Source organism: Homo sapiens, chromosome 9 (assembly GCF_000001405.40).
Source record: "Homo sapiens chromosome 9, GRCh38.p14 Primary Assembly".
In the NCBI taxonomy this organism is placed as follows: Eukaryota; Metazoa; Chordata; class Mammalia; order Primates; family Hominidae; genus Homo; species Homo sapiens.
The window spans coordinates 109,389,801-109,408,510 of NC_000009.12; the positions used below are offsets into that span (position 1 = coordinate 109,389,801).

The window sequence follows — 18,710 nt, forward strand, 5'->3', positions numbered from 1 at the left end:
TTACACCACCAATTCTTGTTGCACTTTGCCTTCTGCATGGCTTCCAATGCTTGTATCATGAAGTTGGTCAATCTTGACATTAAATGTTGAAATGTTTTGAAATGAATGTTTCAGGTAGAAATATTCCTGCTCCATGTTTCCTTTTTGCCCTCTGGACTGAGTCCTTTTGACGAAAGAACACTCAGAACCTGCTGAGCTTTGGGCTGGCACTGGGATTCACTCACTCTCAGGTGAGCAAGGTAAAGGAAGGCTTCTAATTCATGGTTCGGCTGGTGCTTGGATAAATGGCTTCCTCAGTCCTGGGATTATATGAAAAGACTGGTCTTTATGGTATTGCTGCCCCTAATGTTTCTGATGCTCTGCTTTTAAGACACCGGGAATGTTGAAGTGAGGGTCAATGAATCCCATAGATGCTTTGGAACAGGTGGAATCACTGATGAGACCAGTTTTTATTAGGGCATTTCTTGACACTTTGCTATAACTTGAGAACTTAATCTGAGAAATCATCTGTCTATTTAGGAGTTGGCAGACCACGTATCGCCTGAAGGCCAAATCTGTGTGCCACCTTGCAAACTAAGAGCGGCTTTTAATCTTTTTAAGTGGTTACATTTCAAATGCAAAGATCACATATTACTATCTGGTTGGCTACAGAAAGTCTGACCCCAGGTTCAGATAGCATTAGGAGATATACCTAATGCTAAATGACGAGTTAATGGGTGCAGCATACCAGCATGGCACATGTATACATATGTAACTAACCTGCACATTGTGCACATGTACCCTAAAACTTAAAGTATAATAATAATAAAATAAAATAAAAAAGAAGGAATGGAAGTCTAGAGAGGCCAAGTAAGTTGCCCAAGATGCGTTTTTAGAGAGAAAATAAGTGCTTTTCCCATAACATGTGAAACATTCCACTTTTTCTTTTTGGCTTATATGTACAGAGGAGGTTTTATTTTTCTCATTTTTTTTTTAAGGCAGGATGACACTCATTACATGGAGAGAAATAGACAGTTTCATCACTGGCAAAAACAAACACCTGAATGGAAGCCACTCAGTACAGGGGCATGTGGACGATTGAATTAGAAACACAGAACAAGTCTGGTCCCATCTTCTGTTAGCTTTGTGACTTTTCAAATTATTTTAACTCTCCGAACCTTAGTTTTCTCCTCTGTAAAATGAGACTATTCTGCCTGCCCTCCCATGGCTGTTGTGGTGCTGAAATGCGGTGGTGAACGGGAAAGCACTGTGTCAACTGCAAAGCCCCACACAGGCCCTCATCATCGTTGCGACAGTGGTGAATGTGCTCTTAAGCATCATCCAGATTCCTAACTTACGTTCACGTAACTTGCATTAATATAATCTTCATTTCCCTGCAATAATACCCGGGTGGTGTCATCTGCGGGGAAGAGAAAAATTTACCGATTATTCCGAGCATTATTTTTATCATACCAAGTAAACCAGAGTTCAGTTCCCAGCCCCATCTGCAGCTCTGCCTCATTAGCATAAACACTATTCCCCAACTGTTCCGAGTCTGAAATGGCTGCAATAAAGACGGTGGTGTTTACAGACACACTGAAAATCGTTCCAGAATACCAGACAATCTGTTTTAAAAAGGGAAACATTATCTCAGTGTAGGGGGGAAGGAGGCATTCATGCCGGATACTCACAAGGCAGCACATCTTTATATCGGTTTTTGTCCAAATTTTGAGGCAGCTTTGCAAACGTGATGGCCAAACCTGGCTTTTTTCTGTAGAGTTGCTATGTGAGAAATAGAGAAAAAAGCAAGCATTGCAAAAATCAGATGAAGAAAGTGTGAAAACATACTTTATCATTCACAGTACCAAAATCTTAACATTTTAAAGTGATTATGTGTTATATACTAAAAGAAAATCTTCCCAATAAGAAATTCTACAGTTCCATGAGAAACTGACTAAACTCTTTAATAATTTTTTTTTTTAATTTGAAAAAATGCCATAGGAAGGGTCTGGGTCTCAGGTAATGGAGCATGGTAAGTGAAACCTTGTCTTTATGACAACTATTTGACAAGAGCTAAAAGCAACTAGATGTGGGGGGGGGGGGGAAGAATTCTGGCTCAAAATTAAATGGAAATCATCTAAATTAGTCTAGAATCATTTCCCTTCAGTTCAATGTAGTGAACCACACCCTTCCTTTAAGAACGAGAGCATTTCATTCATCATTTCAGGAGTCTATTTCCACAGGAAAAACATTTATCCCAATATATAGTACATTTCATTTACAGAGGTACTTCCCTACACATGTAATCACTACGAAAAATCTCAAACAACACAATCTTTGCATATCTAAAGTCATGTATTAGACATATTTGTATGGTATCTGATGTGATTTTCACAACAGCCCTGTAAGAGATATTAATTGTATTCTTATTTTGCAAGTTCAATGCTTTGTTCGAGATCACAAACAAGAACTCAGATCTGACTCCAAGGCTTATGTTTTCTTTTCTATATGACTGCTTTTTCCCTTTAATCCTTTCTCACCAGTGGTTTTTATTAACTCTATGGGAATTTAAAAACACAGTTTTTTCAGTGTTGGAAGTGATTTTTTTTTTTTGCGGAAAATTTGGGAAATTCAGACTAATATAAAGAAAAAAATTATCAGCAATTTCACAACTCTGAGATGTGCTTTTTGTATATTTTCTCCAGCTTATTTTTTCTGTGCCTACATGAACACAAATGAACAGAAGCACATATATGTAAACGCATAATACATTTATATACTATGTTTTTAAAAGCAAAAAATGAGATTGAACAACATACTGGCACTTTTTTTTTCTCTTCCTGAGACAGGGTCTCTCTTTGTTGCCCAGGCTGGAGTGCAGTGACGTGATCTCGGCTCACTGTAACGTCCACCTCCCAGGTTCAAGCGATTCTCGTGCCTCAGCCTTCCGAGTAGCTGGGACTACAGGTGTGCATCACCATGCCTGGCTAATTTTTGTATTTTTAGTAGAGACAGGGTTTTCTCATGCTGGCCAGGCTGGTCTCAAACTCCTGACCTCAACTGATCTGCCCGCCTGGACCTCCCAAAGTGCTGGGATTACAGGCGTGAGTCACTGCACCCGGCTATATTGGCACTTCTTATGCTATGTTCTACTCAACCTAAGTGTCCTAAAAGAAGATAGTAAGTATTCCTTAGAAAAAGTTTCAAAGTCAAGACATTTGGAAAACATTTATTTTATGTTCTATGAATCTCTAACAGGACAAGTCCTGCAATGCATAATGCATACATTTGTTAAATTCTGATCAGCTAAACATATCTCAAGCTAATTTGGCCGTGGAAAATCTCAGCATCTAATGGAGTATTCTGGGAAATAACTACCCTAATTTTCAAGCTGCTTTCTCCTACTTATTATATAGTATCTATTTCCCCATGTCATTAACTATTATTTACACATATGATCTTTAATGGTTCAATAATCTAGTTTACTATAATTTGTATTAACTTTTATCTTACTTTTTCATTAGGCTGTTTTGAAATTTTTTTTACTCAAACTTCTAAGAAGAGAATTACTATACCAAATAATATTTTTAATGGTTTTTTTTGTCTTTTTTTTTTTTTTTTTTTGAGATGGAGCTTCACTCTTTCACCCAGGCTGGAGTGAAGTGGTGCGATCTCGGCTCACTGTAACCTCCATCCCCTGGGGTTCAAGCGATTCTCCTGCCTCAGCCTCCTGAGTAGCTGGGATTATAGGTATCCATCACCACACCTGCTTAATTTTTGTATTTTTAGTAGAGACAGGGTTTCATCATGTTGGCCAGGCTGGTCTTGAACTCCTGACCTCAGGTGATCCACACACCTCGGCCTCTGAAAGTGCTAGGATTTTTGAGTTTCGATACATATAACCAAGTTGCCCTACAGGGATGTATGATAAATTCACCAAATTGTGGCCAACATCCTTAATAAAGATGTGTTTGCAGTTTGAATAGGGAGGGTAAAAAGGATTTTTCCCTCTATGTTTTTGCAAATTGTATTGTTTTGTAAACTGGCTTCTGTTAGTCTGTTTTTTCTCTTACTAAATAAATAAATTACACAGAACTCCCCAGAAGATAATTAACATAGAGAGTTTGGGTCATAATAATGGTGCTGTATCTTATACATTTGCCAAATGTCTAGAATTTCCAAACACTCCAAGAGCTCAGCTACTCACCACCTTTACAGTTTCAGTTCATAACCATCAGGCAGCTGAACAACTTCTTAAATAACTGCAGTCTCTAATAAACTCTGTGAGTTCATTTTAGGAATAAACTAATGATTTATTAGAGGTTTTGGGTTGACTCTGGCAGAAGGCGGGCACCTAAGTTAAATTTACCTAAACGGCATTTTAGTTCTAACTGATTAAGTGAATATAATCAACAATTAAGTGAATATACAATTAAGTGAACATAGTAAAGCTAACCTGGTGGGAAAAAGAGATTTTTTTTCAAACAATGAAAGTGTAAATAAAATCAACTTGAGGTGGTCTAGCAGAAAAGCACAGCTACAGAAAAAGGCTTTAATTACCATAAGACTTTAAATGTATCTCAGCAGTAATGATCTGTTGATAAATTTGTAAAGTACTAAGATTAATCCTACTAAGATAAATCATATATTAAAAAGTGTTATGGCAGTGTTTACATTTTTTTTTTTTTTTTTGAGACACGTTGCCCAGGCTGGGCTGCAGTGGTGCGATCTCAGCTCACTGCAACCTCTGCCTCCAAGGCTCAAGTGGTTCTCATGCCTCAGCCTCCTGAGTAGTTGGGACTACAGGCATGTGCCACCACATCCGGCTAATTTTTGTATTTTTATTTATACAATTTTATACAAATTTATAACTTGTAAATTTATACAAATTATACAATGAATAATTTATACAATGATGATCATATAGTAGCAACACACACAGTGTATATAATGTGTAAAGACACAATCTTGTGTGTGTATACATGTGTATATGATATATCTGCAATGAGCACTGGAACAAGTATGGAAGGATACATAAAAAATTGTTGTTTGTAAATTATAACAAAGAGGAAGAAACTGGCCGGGTGTGGCAGCTCACGCCTGTAATCCCAGCACTTTGGGAGGCTGAGGCGGGCAGATCACGAGGTCAGGAGATTGAGACCATCCAGGCTAACATGGTGAAACCCCGTCTCTACTAAAAATACAAAAAAATTAGCTGGGCGTGGCAGCAGGCGCCTGTAGTCCCAGCTACTCGGGAGGCTGAGGCAGGAGAATGGCGTGAACCAGGGAGGCAGAGCTTGCAGTGAGCCGAGATCGCGCCACTGCACTCCAGGCTGGGCAACAGAGCGAGACTCCATCTCAATTTAAAAAAAAAAAAAAAAGTGGAGGGAAGAAACTGAAGGGGATAGGAGTCAGGAGACTATTTTACTTTGGTTATTTCTGAATTATCTGAATTATGTCAATGAGAATTGTTATTTTTAAATTCAAATGACTAAAGTGAGAAAAAGAAATACAACAAAAGAAATCTATTTATAAAATTAAAAAGCACAAAATTTTTACAAAAAGCTAGGTGGACAAATCAAAGTTAAGGTTGTTTTGGCCTTTGGAAAGTTTGACAACACACTCATATTTATGTCTGCAAAGGCTAACACTGAATAGGACTGAAGCAACTTAGTAGAAACAGAATTTAAACATTTAGTTTCCTAAGTGTTGAGAGTTGGTTTTCGGCTGGGCACAGTGGCTCATGCCTGTAATCCCAGCACTTTGGGAGGCTGAGGTGGGCGGATAGCTTAAGCTCAGGAGTTTGAGACCAGGCTGTGTAACATGGTGAAACCCCATCTCTACTAAAAATATAAAAATTAGCCAAGTGTGGTGGCACATGTCTGTAGTCACAGCTACTTGGGAGGCTGAGGTGGGAGGATTGCTTGAGCCTGGGAGGTGGAGGTTGCAGTGAGCCAATATTGTGCCACTGCACTCCATCCTGGGAGACAGAGGAAGACCCTGTCTGTGTGTGTCTGTCTGTGTGTGTGTCTCTCTCTCTCTATATATATGTATATATTTTTTTTCAAGTTCCTATTTTTTTTTTTTTTTTTTTTGAGACAGAATCTTACTCTGTTACCTAGGCTGGAATGCAATGGTGTGATCTCGGCTCACTGCAACCTCCACCTCCTGGGTTAAAGTGATTCTCCTGCCTCAGCCTCCCGTGTAGCTGGAATCTGTATACAGGCGTGCGCCACCATGCCCAGCTAATTTTAGTATTTTTAGTACAGACTGGTTTTCACCATGTTGCCTAAGCTGGTCTTGAACTTCTGCACTCAAGCAAGCCACCCGTCTTGGCCTCCCAAGGTGCTGGGATTACAGCCGTGAGCCACTGCGCCTGGCCTCAAGTTCCTAAAATTTATCGACTCTTCTCCAGGCCCTGTGGGCTGCTTGGCAGTCTGGTTATGAAACACTGCTCTGAGAAGGCGGAGGGACAGAGTGGAAAGTGAGTGTAGGAATCACAGGTATGTCTTTCTGGAAGGGTCAGGGATGGAACGGAATGAGTTAAGGCTTTGTGATATTGGCCAGAGTATGAGACATGGCTTTTAAGAGAACCTTCACTTTTTTTTCATTTTCCAATTCATCGGAAAAACAACAATTTGCTTTGGTTATTCCTGGGCTGAAGGAGTGTGAGGGAGACAACAGCTCCTGGCTGCAGGTCCCTTAGATTCTGTCCTAGAATGGGAGTCACCAGGAGGCTGAGAGGCAGGGTCACAGGGATACAAAATGACAAAACCACTGAATTTTATGAAAAATTATTAATTTTTATGTCCTAAAATGCTTTGTTCTCATTCTATCAGAGTATAGTTATAAGAAGCTCTGAAGCTAACGGTAAATTATAAAAAGTTCGGCTAAGAGGGGTTGCTAAGGAACAACTGTATTGAAATTACAGTATCAGTATCACCAGCTCTGGCCTCCAAAGACAAAAAATTTGAATGGTGGGAGCAGATGCTCTCCAATGTGGTAGGGGTGCAATGGATGGTTTTTTGGCTTAAATATTTCTTCTTAGAACAAGTCACCTACTATAATATTAGAGAAGGCATCAGGTGACTCTAATCTCCTCACTCAACCAAAGGTGTGCAGCCTACTCACATCCCTCAGGTGAGAGCTTCACACCCCCAACTGGCTCTAACCAGCGGATGCTGGCAAGGCCCAGCAAGTGGAAGCAAGCACTCCGTCAACTCTATGAACAGAAAAAGGGGAATTCCTGAAGGCTGAGAACCCAAGAAGGGGGAAGAAAAAGGGAAAAGGACAGGAAAAAAAAGGGGGACCGGGAATCAAGGAAACCATGGGTAAGGAGACAGCAAAGGCCAGAAGCAGATTGCCTTTCATGCCCTCCACAAAAACCCAGAGTCGACTCCAAGGAACCAAGTTTCAAAATGGCTGTTTGCTGTATCAGCCACTACGGCATTATCTTTATGGGGACAGGAATCTCATTTGTTCACTACCACAAACCCCAGACCAGCATTGTGCCTGGCACATAGTAGGTGCTCAATAAAAATTTGTAGAGTCAAGGAATAATGGGATCTGCTGCTTTCAAAAATGAGTGCCAACCATGTGAATAAAGCATGCCCAAGAGAATTTCAAAGCAATTTCAGCTTTCTTAGACATAGTGCCCTATAACTAAGCTGAGGGTAACCCATTTTTCCCAAAGAGCCCACCCCAAGAGGTTGTTTTAGTACCACTTGGTAGACAAATTAACAGTTCACTACTCACGGGTAGCTCACCCACACTAGGACATCGCTTTTCCTTTGTATCTGACCCAGCCAGAGGGCAAGAGAAACCATCTAGCGGGGTCTTGGAGCCTCTACCTACCTTCCCAGAAAGGTTTGCTGAATTGAAATCGTTGCTAGTAATTTTGGGACCTTCCATAGTGCCCCTTTCCAGGCACAGTCCCAGATGCAGATTCTACTGCTGGCAAACCTAACAAGTATTCTTGCAGGGGCCCTTTCAGACAGACACACAACAATAAGTTATGGCAGCACTTCCTTTAGGTGGGTCGCTGGCACTTGAAATGTAAAGGCTGCACACACGGTCATTCCAAAGCCCCCAGTTTGCTCCGTGTATCCCAGATACACATTATACTGATGATGTTTTCTTTCCTTAAAAAACAAACAAACAAACAAAAACAACAAACTATTTGGAAAACCGTTTTTAAAAATGCAATCTTTTGGGCCGGGCATGGTGGCTGATGCCTGTAATCCCAGCACTTTGTGGGGCCAAGGTGGGCAGATCCCTTGAGGCCAGGACTTCTAGACTAACTTGGCCAACATGGTGAAACCCCATCTCTACTTAAAATACAAAAATTAGCTGGGCATGGTGGCGCATGCCTGTAATCCTAGCTACTGAGGAAGCCAAGGCACGAGAATCACTTGAATCACTTGAACGTGGGAGGCAGAGGCTGCAGTGAGCCAAGATCACACACTGCTGCACTCCTGCCTGGGCCACAGAATGAGACTCGGTCTAAAGGGTTCTAATCTTGAAGATACAATTGCTCTCATTAATTTCTACAGGTGTCAATTTAAACCTCTTATAAAGTTTTCAGCTACCTCTGCCCTTCCAAATGCACCTTTTATAATTATCACAGGAGCCAGTGAGTCACTTGTTTTGACATTAATGGCTATCTTCTATAATGGGCAATGTAGGAGTAAGTAAAGTAAAAACAGGGGCCAGAAGAACAAAGATGGTTTCTGGTTTTGGTGAAGATGGTGGATGCTGAAGTGGAGGGGCCGGGTATCTGAGTTTGACATGACCTTTGGTGGTCTTTTGTAGCCACTGCTGTAATCCATCAACTGGGGGATGCAGGCATTCTCTTGTGGTGTTCCTCATTTTCGAGCTCTTAACTAACAGTGGGCAAGGAGGTAGGGAAGCTGTGAGTCACCTGGTCACTGGATGAAAATGGACACTGGGATCCTTTGTTGCTGGGAAGCTGGTTCTCAAATAAAGGACAGGTTAGCATCATCACTTAGCTTTTATCCAGGAAAGTCTATACCAAATGCAGATCCTGTCCTTTGCTTAAATGGACACTTCAACTCAGGGAACATGTAGATTAATCTCCAAGTTTTTCTTAGGAACAAACAAAAACAAGAGCTTCCTGGAAGTGGTAATTTTGGGGTCAGTGTGAACCCCAATTCTGCTCCTTTACATAAGAGAAAGAGGAACACCCTACCTTGGCTACACAAAGAGTATTTAGGCAGTTTGGGGCCAATCAAAAATACCACCAAACTGCTCCCATTGATGTAGGTCATACAGTGTGGCTACCAAAGGGAATGGCTAATGTTGGAGGATAGAGTGAGGGCTGGGTACACTCAGCAATGGCGAGTTGCCGACAATAAGTTAAAATTTTATTTATTTTTTTGAGACAAGGTCTTGCTCTGTTGCAGCCCAGGCTGGAGTACGGTGGTATGACCATGGCTCACTGAAGCCTCAACCTCCGAGGCTAGAGCAATCGTCCCGCCTCAGCCTCCCAAAGTGTTGGTATTACAAGCATGAGCAACTATGCCTAGCCTAGATATTTAACATATATTCTAATTGTGGCTCTATCTCTGACTAGTTGTGTGCCACTGGGCAAGTCCCTCAGCCTCTCTGATTTTCGTTTTCTCCATCTGTAAAAGGGTGATCCTCATCATGCTGGCCATATCGATTTCACAGTACTGTTGTGAGAGTTAACAGAGACAACATATGTGCACCACACTTGCTAGGTTCCAAAGTGCTCTAGAAATGCTAATTATTAAGTGTGATTTTATGACAGCTGGGACCAAATGCTTTCTGGAACACACTTGTGATTGTTTACTGAAAGCCACAGGAGGGACTTTTTTTTCATAAAGGGAATTCCCTTTATGAAAAAAAAAAAAATGCTCCAAAGCAAGCACTGATAGAAACCAGCTCTCGCAGAAGGGAATTAAGGCTACCCCAGGGCAGGTCTTTCGTGCCATGGAGTGGGTGGTGTGGACACCTGCAGTGGGCCCTGCTGGGGAATAGCCCCTTCCTCTTCCTACTCCTGTCCAGTGTACACCCCCATCAGCCAGGACGCCCACCTGCCAACCACACTGGAGAAGGTAGAGAACTGGAACACCAGGACTAGACGACCCAGAGCTCCAAACCCAGCACAACACAGTTACCTTTTTTTTTTTTTTTTTTTAGCTGTTATCCTGGCTGGAATGCATTGGAGCCAACACGGCTCACTGCAGCCTCAACTTCCCAGGCTCAAGTGATCCTCTCACCTCAATCTCCCGAGTAGCTGGGACCACAGGTGTGTGCCACCATGGCTGGCTAATTTTTTTATGTTTAGTAGAGATGAGGTCTTGTTATGTTGCCCAGGTTGGTCTCAAACTCCTGGCCTCAAGTGATCCCCCTGTTTTGGCCTCCCAAAGTACTGGGATTAGAGGCATGAGCCCTCATGTCCGGCCTGTGACCACCTCTTAGGCAGACATTGGGCATGTTCTACAGACTCTTGGAGCCTCCCTTTATTTATAAATAATAACAGCTATTACTTTTTATGGCACTTTGACCACATACCAGACAACACATTAAGTATTTATCTCATCTAACTCTTAAATGAACTCACAAGATACCCAATTTATATATGGGCAAACAGAGGCCACAGAGGTTAGGGGACGTGCCTAAGGCCACACAGGAAGTGAGGGTAGAGCCAGGATTTAAAATCTGTCTGGCTCCGTGTAGGGAGACAGCCTCTCAGATATTTTCTAGCTCAGATGTTCTATTATTCTAATAACAACTCTCATACATCAACAGCATTTTGTAGTTTTCAAAGGTTATTTCAGAGTGGCTAAGAACCACCCCTTGAGTTGGCCAGCCTGGGTTCCAATCAGCCTTTGACATTTACTGTGAGACCTGGAAGAGGTCACTTAACCTGTCCAAGACTGTGTTCCCTCATGCCTACAACTGGGATAATGACAGCATCTATATAGGGCTCTTGTGAGAATTACCTAAGGTGATATCCTTTAAAGCCTGTGGCACATAGTAAGTGCTCATGAAAGCTTTCCTTTCCTACTAGTTTCTCATTTTATCTGGTTTCCTTTTCTATGCCTCTCCTCTGGCTGCTCTGTAAAACACCATTCTCGCACCTGTAACAGTGGTTTTCACATGATGGTCTGTTTAGCCTAGGGCTCCCTGGGGGCCAGTGAAGGAAGACTGAAGAGGCTGGGCTTTGAGGACCCTACTGGTTCCATCACAGGTCACAGAGCAGACCTGCTTTCATCTGTTCTGTATTTTGGAATTCTGCAAATGATTTTATTAAAAAGAAGGGTTTCCTACTTAAATATCCTACTTGAGGAACTGTATAGACAAAAATGAAGGAAACGTGTACATGCTAAAACGCAACCCTAAAATGTATACGTTCTCCTTTTCTTATGCTATCATCCCACCATACCCTCCAAAGACAAAGCCTCGGATGCACAGCAGTGGTTCCGGTTGGGTCTTCACCTCCTCTCCTCTGGAACAGCGTGTGCATCAAAACAGGTGCTGATCTTGTTAAAAGTATCAGTATCTAGGTCCCATCCTGGTGCTGCCAATCCAGTAGCTGTGGGCGGGGCCTTGATTTAATAAACTCCCCAGGTGATCTCCATACAAGTGGTCGGAGGGTCACCCTCTGAGAAACACAGGTAGGGGACAGGGTGGGTATTTATCTCTAATGTCTTTGAAAACTTTTTAAAAAGTTGAACACTTTTCAAGGGAAATCACCTGTGGGATTCCCATATGTAAAACACACCTCAAATTGGAGCCACCTGCGTGAAGGAGGTTTCATGAACACCGAAAACACCAGCCTTTGGCTTTTCCTCAGTGAGAGCCCACAGCGCCTCCTTGTGGACTATCTGATAAACTGGAACCAGTTCTCGCAGGGCTGAAGGACGGTGGTCACCTAGAGGCATTGCCCAGGATCTGCACTGCGCTGTCCACCCAGGTAGGCCTGTCTCTTTATGCTACGTGATACCCCATGAGCTTTGTCTGCATTTGGGCTGAGATTTTCCTGGAATATGCTCCCCCCACACACTTAATCCTAATCACCCCTTTATTAATCCCACACATCTCACTCCAGGGATCTCCTGGAGTCCCCTCACCTCCAGTTGCTGCAGAACATATATTCTGTATAATAACATCTTACCCTGTCTTGGTCTTCAGCTGTTTCTGGGACACATGATGTACCTCCTAAAATACACTAAAATTAGACTGTAAACTCCTTGGGGCCAGAAACTCCCCTCTCCTTCCCTCATCAGGTTCCTGATCCAGGGGAAATACCCAAGACACACTCGCTAAATCAACAAACAAACGACTTCTCACTGCCTTTCCTGTCCTCTCTAATACCAAAAAACCGGTATGCACTGTGACTGGCTCTTAAGTTCTTCCTTGTTTCGATTTTGGAGTGTGTGAAAATATGAATGAGTTTTACTGCTCAAAATGTGAACTTTTTTGAAAGGCAAGGCCAGAGAAGATAACCTCTACATTTCCTTTTTTTTTTATTTTTATTTTTTGTGAGATGGAGTCTTGCTCTGTCACCTAGGCTGATCTTGTCTCACCGCAACCTCCGCCTCCTGGGTTCAAGTGATTCCCCTGCCTCAGCCTCCCAAGTAGCTAGGATTACAGGTGCCTGCCACCCCGCCTGGCTGATTTTTGTATTTTTAATAGAGACAGGGTTTCACCATGTTGGCCAGGCTGGTCTTGAACTCCTGACCTCAGGTGATCCACTCGCCTCAGCCTCCTTAAGTGCTGGGATTATAGGTGTGAGCCACTGCACCCAGCCTACATTTTCTTCTTTTTAACCAAAAGTGTGAACAGCCTCCTGTAGGCCACTGAAAAAAAGGGCTATTTCCCTTTGTAGAATACTCAGTAATATATCTATTAGTTCTATTCAAGTAATTATAGTTACTACCCTTTTATCCAGACTTCATTTGCATAAGTACATAATTTTTGTTTTATATTGTGTCAAGATGATTAATTAAAAATTTTAAATGGCTGGGTGCAGTGGCTCATGCCTGTAATCCTAGCACTTTGGGGGGCTGAGGCAGGTGGCTTGCTTCAGCCCAGGAGTTTGAGACCAGCCTGGGCAACATGGCAAAACTGCATCTCTACAAAAGAATAATAAAAAACAAATTAGCCAGGAGTGGTGGTGCATGCCTGTAGTCCCAGCTACTCAGGAGGCTGAGGTGGGAGGATCACTTGAGCTTGAGAGGTAGAGGCTGAAGTGAGCCAAGATGGCACCACTGCACTCCAACCTGGGTGACAGACGCCCTGTCTCTAAATAAATAAATATATTAATTAATTAATTCCCTGTTGATTGTTTTGGCGGGGAAGTCAGTCACCTTTACTTTTTGGCTTGTGGATTTTTGCTTTCTACTGCTGTTCAATGCACATTGCTTTAATGTGTTTTCACATGCATCATAAAATCAATCTTTCACTCAAAGCTCTCTGCTTTGCATTCCTTCATTTTAAACATTCCTATTACTCATGCCTTCCTCAATTACTCTGCAGTCACACACATTTCACAAATGTCCGAGTTTTGCTTCTTTTTCCTTTATGTGGTTTTCTAATAAATAATGCATTGTTGATTTCTGTTCTTGAGTCCCATGTGACTCTCTTCCTGAATTTATGAACCCAGACTGTTGTTATTTCTAATGATGATCTATTTTCTTTTGTTGACCTATTTTATGCTTTTTGGTGTTATTTCTTTTATTACAGGAATTACTCTGTTTTCTTCTACTTTTAAATAAATTTGGGAGATGGGCTGGGTGTGGTGGCTCACACCTGTAATTTCAGCGTTTTGGAAGACCGAGGCGGGAGGACGGCGTGGGACCAGGAGTTCATGACTGGCCTGGGCAACACAGTGAGACCCTGTCTCTATTTTAAACAACGACAACAACATATTTAAAAAATAAAAATAAGAAAATAAATTTGGAAGATGAACACATTCTATTTTAATTCTGTTAGTGATCAGTAAAACTGGCTTAAAAGCTGAGTTTCCTTTGGTTCCCTTTTGTTTTATAAAAAATGTCTGTGTGTACCTTTGTCAACAGCCTGAATCCTATGAATCACAGGTTCCCCTGGGGAAGATGGGGGTTTGAGTTTGGTTTCTTACTTGTGTTTATAGGGTTCTGGGCAACTTGGGAGGGCGAGACACTATGCCCTCATGGGATAACACTAATTGCTCCAAATTCCAGCACATGGCTGGGGGTGGTCAGAGAGCTGGTTCCTTCACCCACAGCCACCTCTCCACTGCCTTCCACTGCTGGGAGTTTTGAGCTTTTGTGTTGGCAGTTAAATACACTCAGAGTCCCTCCTCCTCAGTTTCTGGCATGTTTCTCCATGACTACCAAATGTTACTAGAATAAGAGGGTGAGACAGAGTTCAGCGAGGGTGGCCACCCTGATCCCTGCTTGCTGCTCCGAGCCTGAGAAGGGGGCTGCCTGCTGTGCCCTGTTATCCACGACAAGCACAGGCCTCGCCCTGTCAGTCCTCAGAGACTCAGTTGACTGCTTTTGGTTTGTGAAACACACAATCATCTCGACCAAGGAAACAAGGGCTTGTGTCTCTGCCTCATTTCCTCCACTGCTCAGAGGCAGGGGCAGCCCAATAGGCGACATGGCAGTGGGATTCAGCCTCCAGAGGGTCTTACCTCAAACTGGATCAGCACCGTCCCGCTTTCGAGGCCCTTCTTTAGCTGTGCCATGGATCCCTCCAAAGTGTCCCCACCCTCCGGACACATGGGGAAAATGGCTTCGGGGAAAAGCTGGTTCAGTTCATCTTCAGACTTGAAGTCAGCAAATGAGCGGACAGCTGTAACGTACAAGACAGTGCATCTGACTTGTGTAGCAATACTCAGGTTTATCCGTCTCCCTCAAACAAATCACACCTATGACACCTGAATGCAGATGGTTCAAAACATCTTATTAAATGATTAAGCTACATGGTAATCATTTTCACCAAAGATACTACTTCTAGGTGAATGATTCAATATGTGTTAATTACATAAAATGACATACTAATCTTCCTGGTTAGTTTTAAATAATGGTGTTTAACACTCAGAGGCTTTTGTCAAAGGTAAAGAAAAGAGAAAGAATGTTATTTAAAAAAGCATATTGTTTCTGCTTGCTCTTTCTGACCGGGTTATTCTTCTACCCATCCCGACTCCCCTTTCTTTCTCAGGTTTTTTCATTTACTTCCCTAAAATGGGCATTTCCTCAGGCATGAGGGTGAGGTCCCAAGCTTTTCCTGTGACACCATCATTCCTGAGAGCTCAATCCCTAACTCAGGGCCGTTTCTATGTGGGAGGCTCCCACGTAAATATCGTAGTCCTAGCATCTCTTCTGTGCTTCAGCCTTACCTCTTTAGTGCACGTTTTCCCTTCATGTTAAATTCAATACAGGTGAAAGCAAAGCTAGGACCACCCCCCCACAACTCCCAACCTTGCACAGGTGGGGAACCGGAGAGATCTGGTAAGGCCTCACGGAGGAGGTGGGGTCAGAGCTGGTCCTGGTGGCTCTGGACTGAGAGTTGCAGTGGGAGCAGAGCCGAGGCAGGAGCACAGCAGTATGGAGTGTCAGCCAAACGTGTGAGGCAGGCAGAGACGCAGGGCTTTGCAGACACAACCTTCATTTACTTTCAGTATTTTACAGCTGTGCACGGTGTTCAAGGAACTTGACGTATTATTTTATAACAACAACTATAAAGACAACAGTGTGATGCTCAGTAGAGGCTGTCCTTCAAACCTCTGCTCCCATCAGGCAGCAATGCAGGTACTTTCCAGTCTAAGTGCCATTGATTGATTGAATGATTGAGATGGAGTCTCACTCTGTCACCCAGGCTGGAGTGTAGTGGCACAGTCTTAGCTCACTGCAACATCCACTTCCTGGGTTCAAGCGATTCTCCTGCCTCAGCCTCCTGAGTAGCTGGGACTATACCCACATGGCACCATGCCTGGCTATTGTATTTTTAGCAGAGATGAGGTTTTACCATGTTGGTCAAGCTGGTCTTGAACTCCTGACCTCAAGTGATACACCCACCTTGGCCTTCCAAAGTGCTGGGATTACAGGTGTGAGCCACTGTGCCTGGCCCCAAGTGCCATTTAATCTTCACAGCAACCCTGTGAAGTCGGGACCACTGCTGTCCTCCTCCACACCTGAGCCAGCTGAACCACAGACTGGTTATGTAACCCCTGCAAGGTCCCCCAGCCCGCAGAGGCAGAGTGAGGAATCACCCGAGACAGTCAGACCCTGCTCTCCTCACTGCCTCCCCGACAAAATCAAACACGCACGAATAAAATATCACCAGATCCTTTAAGAAGGGGCTGAAAATGCAAATGTCTGCAGAGTCATGCCACTTAGAGAGTGCGTGATGTGGGCTGCGCTGGGCCTGGGAGGAACTGGGAGCTGGGGGCTCATGTCCTGTATAAAGGGGCTGCAGGGGCGCTGTCTCCCCCCAGAAGACTGGCCACATGGGGACAGGCCTCCTGGGGGCAGATCTTCACATTTTTCAAGTGAGAAGCCAAACATTCGGTTATTACCTGAAGATTCTTGATTTTCAAATGTTGGCTACAAACTCAACATTTTCAAGAGCAGATAAAGGGCTGGAGCAGGCGCAGCTTGGCTAGGACAGCTTCCCTATGGCTCCTCCCCCCAGGTGGCCATTACCTCTCCTCCTGATCACCAGGGCCAGCTCCCGTGAGTGGGACTCCCGGCTGGCTTTGATGAACATCACCACTTGGTCATGCGTGTGTTCTGAGATGTCCCGGCCATTGATTAACACGATTTGATCCCCTTCGTTCAGCTTAGGAATGCAGGTGTCCGCCTGGGTGGTGGGGAAAAGCGAGTTTCTCCTGTTACCATAACACAGTCCTTGGGGGAAGAACGCTGACTCGCTCTGCTCCCAGACACCTGGGACCATGATCAAGTTTGCCTTCTCTCCCTCGGGTAGTACTGTCATTATTTGTATAATGCATCCACTGCTATGTGGACATGGTAGATGGTTGTAAGATATAAAGAAGTACTGCTCAGAATATAAGTTATGAAACATTTCAGAATAAGGATATAAAAATTGCTGAAGCCATTTCTCCGTGGTAGTCAACCTTCACTTATTATAATATAACTATACCATTTCCAGCCTTTTGTTTCCTAGATGTACTGTTAGGAAATGATTTGCCAGCTAGAGGTGAGTATTTATCTGTCTTGCAAAGGTGAAAGCTTTTGTAAGCTTCACAACAGAGGCAAAAACCATTATGGAGAGAAGCAATGAATTGAACAGCACAGGAAAGAAAGCCTTCTGAATTTACAGAAACTGTAAACAGTAACAAAAGTTAAATGACAAGAGCTTAAGGACTACCTCAGAGTAAAATCCCAACGTGGTTCACTGTAAGGAGGCACAGTGACTCCTACTGCTTTAAAAAAGCAGATGATTAAAAGGTAACTATGGAGCCAGGTGAGGTGGGACACACCTGTGGTCTCAGCGACTTGGGAGGCAGAGGCAGGAGGATCGCTTGAGCCTAGTTTGAGGCTGCAGTGATCATACCACTGCATTCCAGCCTGGGTGACAGAGCAAGAGCGAGACCCTGTCTCTTAAAAAAGAAAAATAGGTTAACTATGGAAAGTGATGAACATGTTAATTTGTTTGACTGCAGTACTATATGTATAACAAGACATCATGTTGTACACCTTGAGTATGCACAATAAAAAAATTAAACGAAAAAATTACTTGATATTATTTTAAAAACAATAAAATAAATTTATTTTATTTTTGAGACAGAGTCTCACTCTGTCGCTCAGGCTGGAGTACAGCGGCGTGATCTCAGCTCACTGCAACCTCTGCCTCCTGGGTTCAAGGAATTCTCCTGCCTCAGCCTCCTGAGTAGCTGGGATCACACCTGTGTGCCACCACACCCAGATAATTTTTGTATTTTTTGTAGAGATGGGTTTCACCCTGTTGGCCAGGCAGGTTGGTCTCAAACTCCTGGCCTCAAGTGATTCACCCTCCTCGGCCTCCCAAAGTGCTGGGATTACAGGTGTGAGCCACTATGCCTGGCCTAAAAACAATAAAATAAATTTGAAAGAAAAACAAAGCAAATGCTCTTCTTAGGAGGCCTACACAGATGACAAAAGGGGCACTGGTGGAAAGATGGTGAGAAGAGGCACAGGGCCCACGTGCCCACTTAGAGTGAGCAGAACAGCAGACTGCCTAAGTTTCCTTCTCTTGAAAAGGACTTCTCAAAATTGAATGCACACTAACCACTCAAGGCTCTTGTTAAAAATGCAGATTCCGGTTCAGCAGGCCTAAGCTGAGGCCAGAGATGCTGCATTTCTAATGAGGTCCCAGGTAACATGGGTGCTATGGCTTCAAAGACCACACTGAGCCGCAAGGTTATAGAAAACATGGTGATGTATATCTAAGCACATTCTTTGCTCTGGCAAAAAAAGAAACAGGACTCAGAAACAGAAACCTGTTAGAATTAGGGGGAAACAAACAAACACGAGGAATAACATGGAATGTATTTACTTACAGGTGACTCTGGGTTTATCCTTGATACCACAAGAGGCATCTTTTGATCCACTCCTCCCTGTAAACATTTTAAAATAAAAACAAAACAAAGTTTTTTAAGTTAAACAAACAAACAAACAAAAAAACGAGTAGCTCACAGCATCAACAACATGGAGGTACCAATAAATGTGAGTCTTTGGTACAGGGAGGCT

General features: G+C 43.1%; 1 protein-coding gene across 18 annotated transcripts in view; it reads right to left on the bottom strand.

Annotated features, from left to right (window-relative positions):
- PTPN3 (protein tyrosine phosphatase non-receptor type 3) overlaps positions 1-18,710 on the bottom strand; it is a 162,727-nt gene that overhangs the window by 14,107 nt on the left and 129,910 nt on the right. For all 18 annotated transcript variants that reach the window (NR_026918.1, XM_011518888.3, NM_001145368.2 and 15 more), the window contains 5 exons: positions 18,521-18,577; positions 16,662-16,818; positions 14,648-14,808; positions 1,671-1,761; positions 1,338-1,399 (listed from right to left, as the gene is read on the bottom strand). Coding sequence is in view for 17 of the 18 variants with exons in the window: in XM_011518888.3 (XP_011517190.1) it covers positions 1,338-1,399; positions 1,671-1,761; positions 14,648-14,808; positions 16,662-16,818; positions 18,521-18,577 (528 nt within the window). In the remaining variant the exon portion in view is untranslated. The remainder of the gene's footprint in view (positions 1-1,337; positions 1,400-1,670; positions 1,762-14,647; positions 14,809-16,661; positions 16,819-18,520; positions 18,578-18,710) is intronic.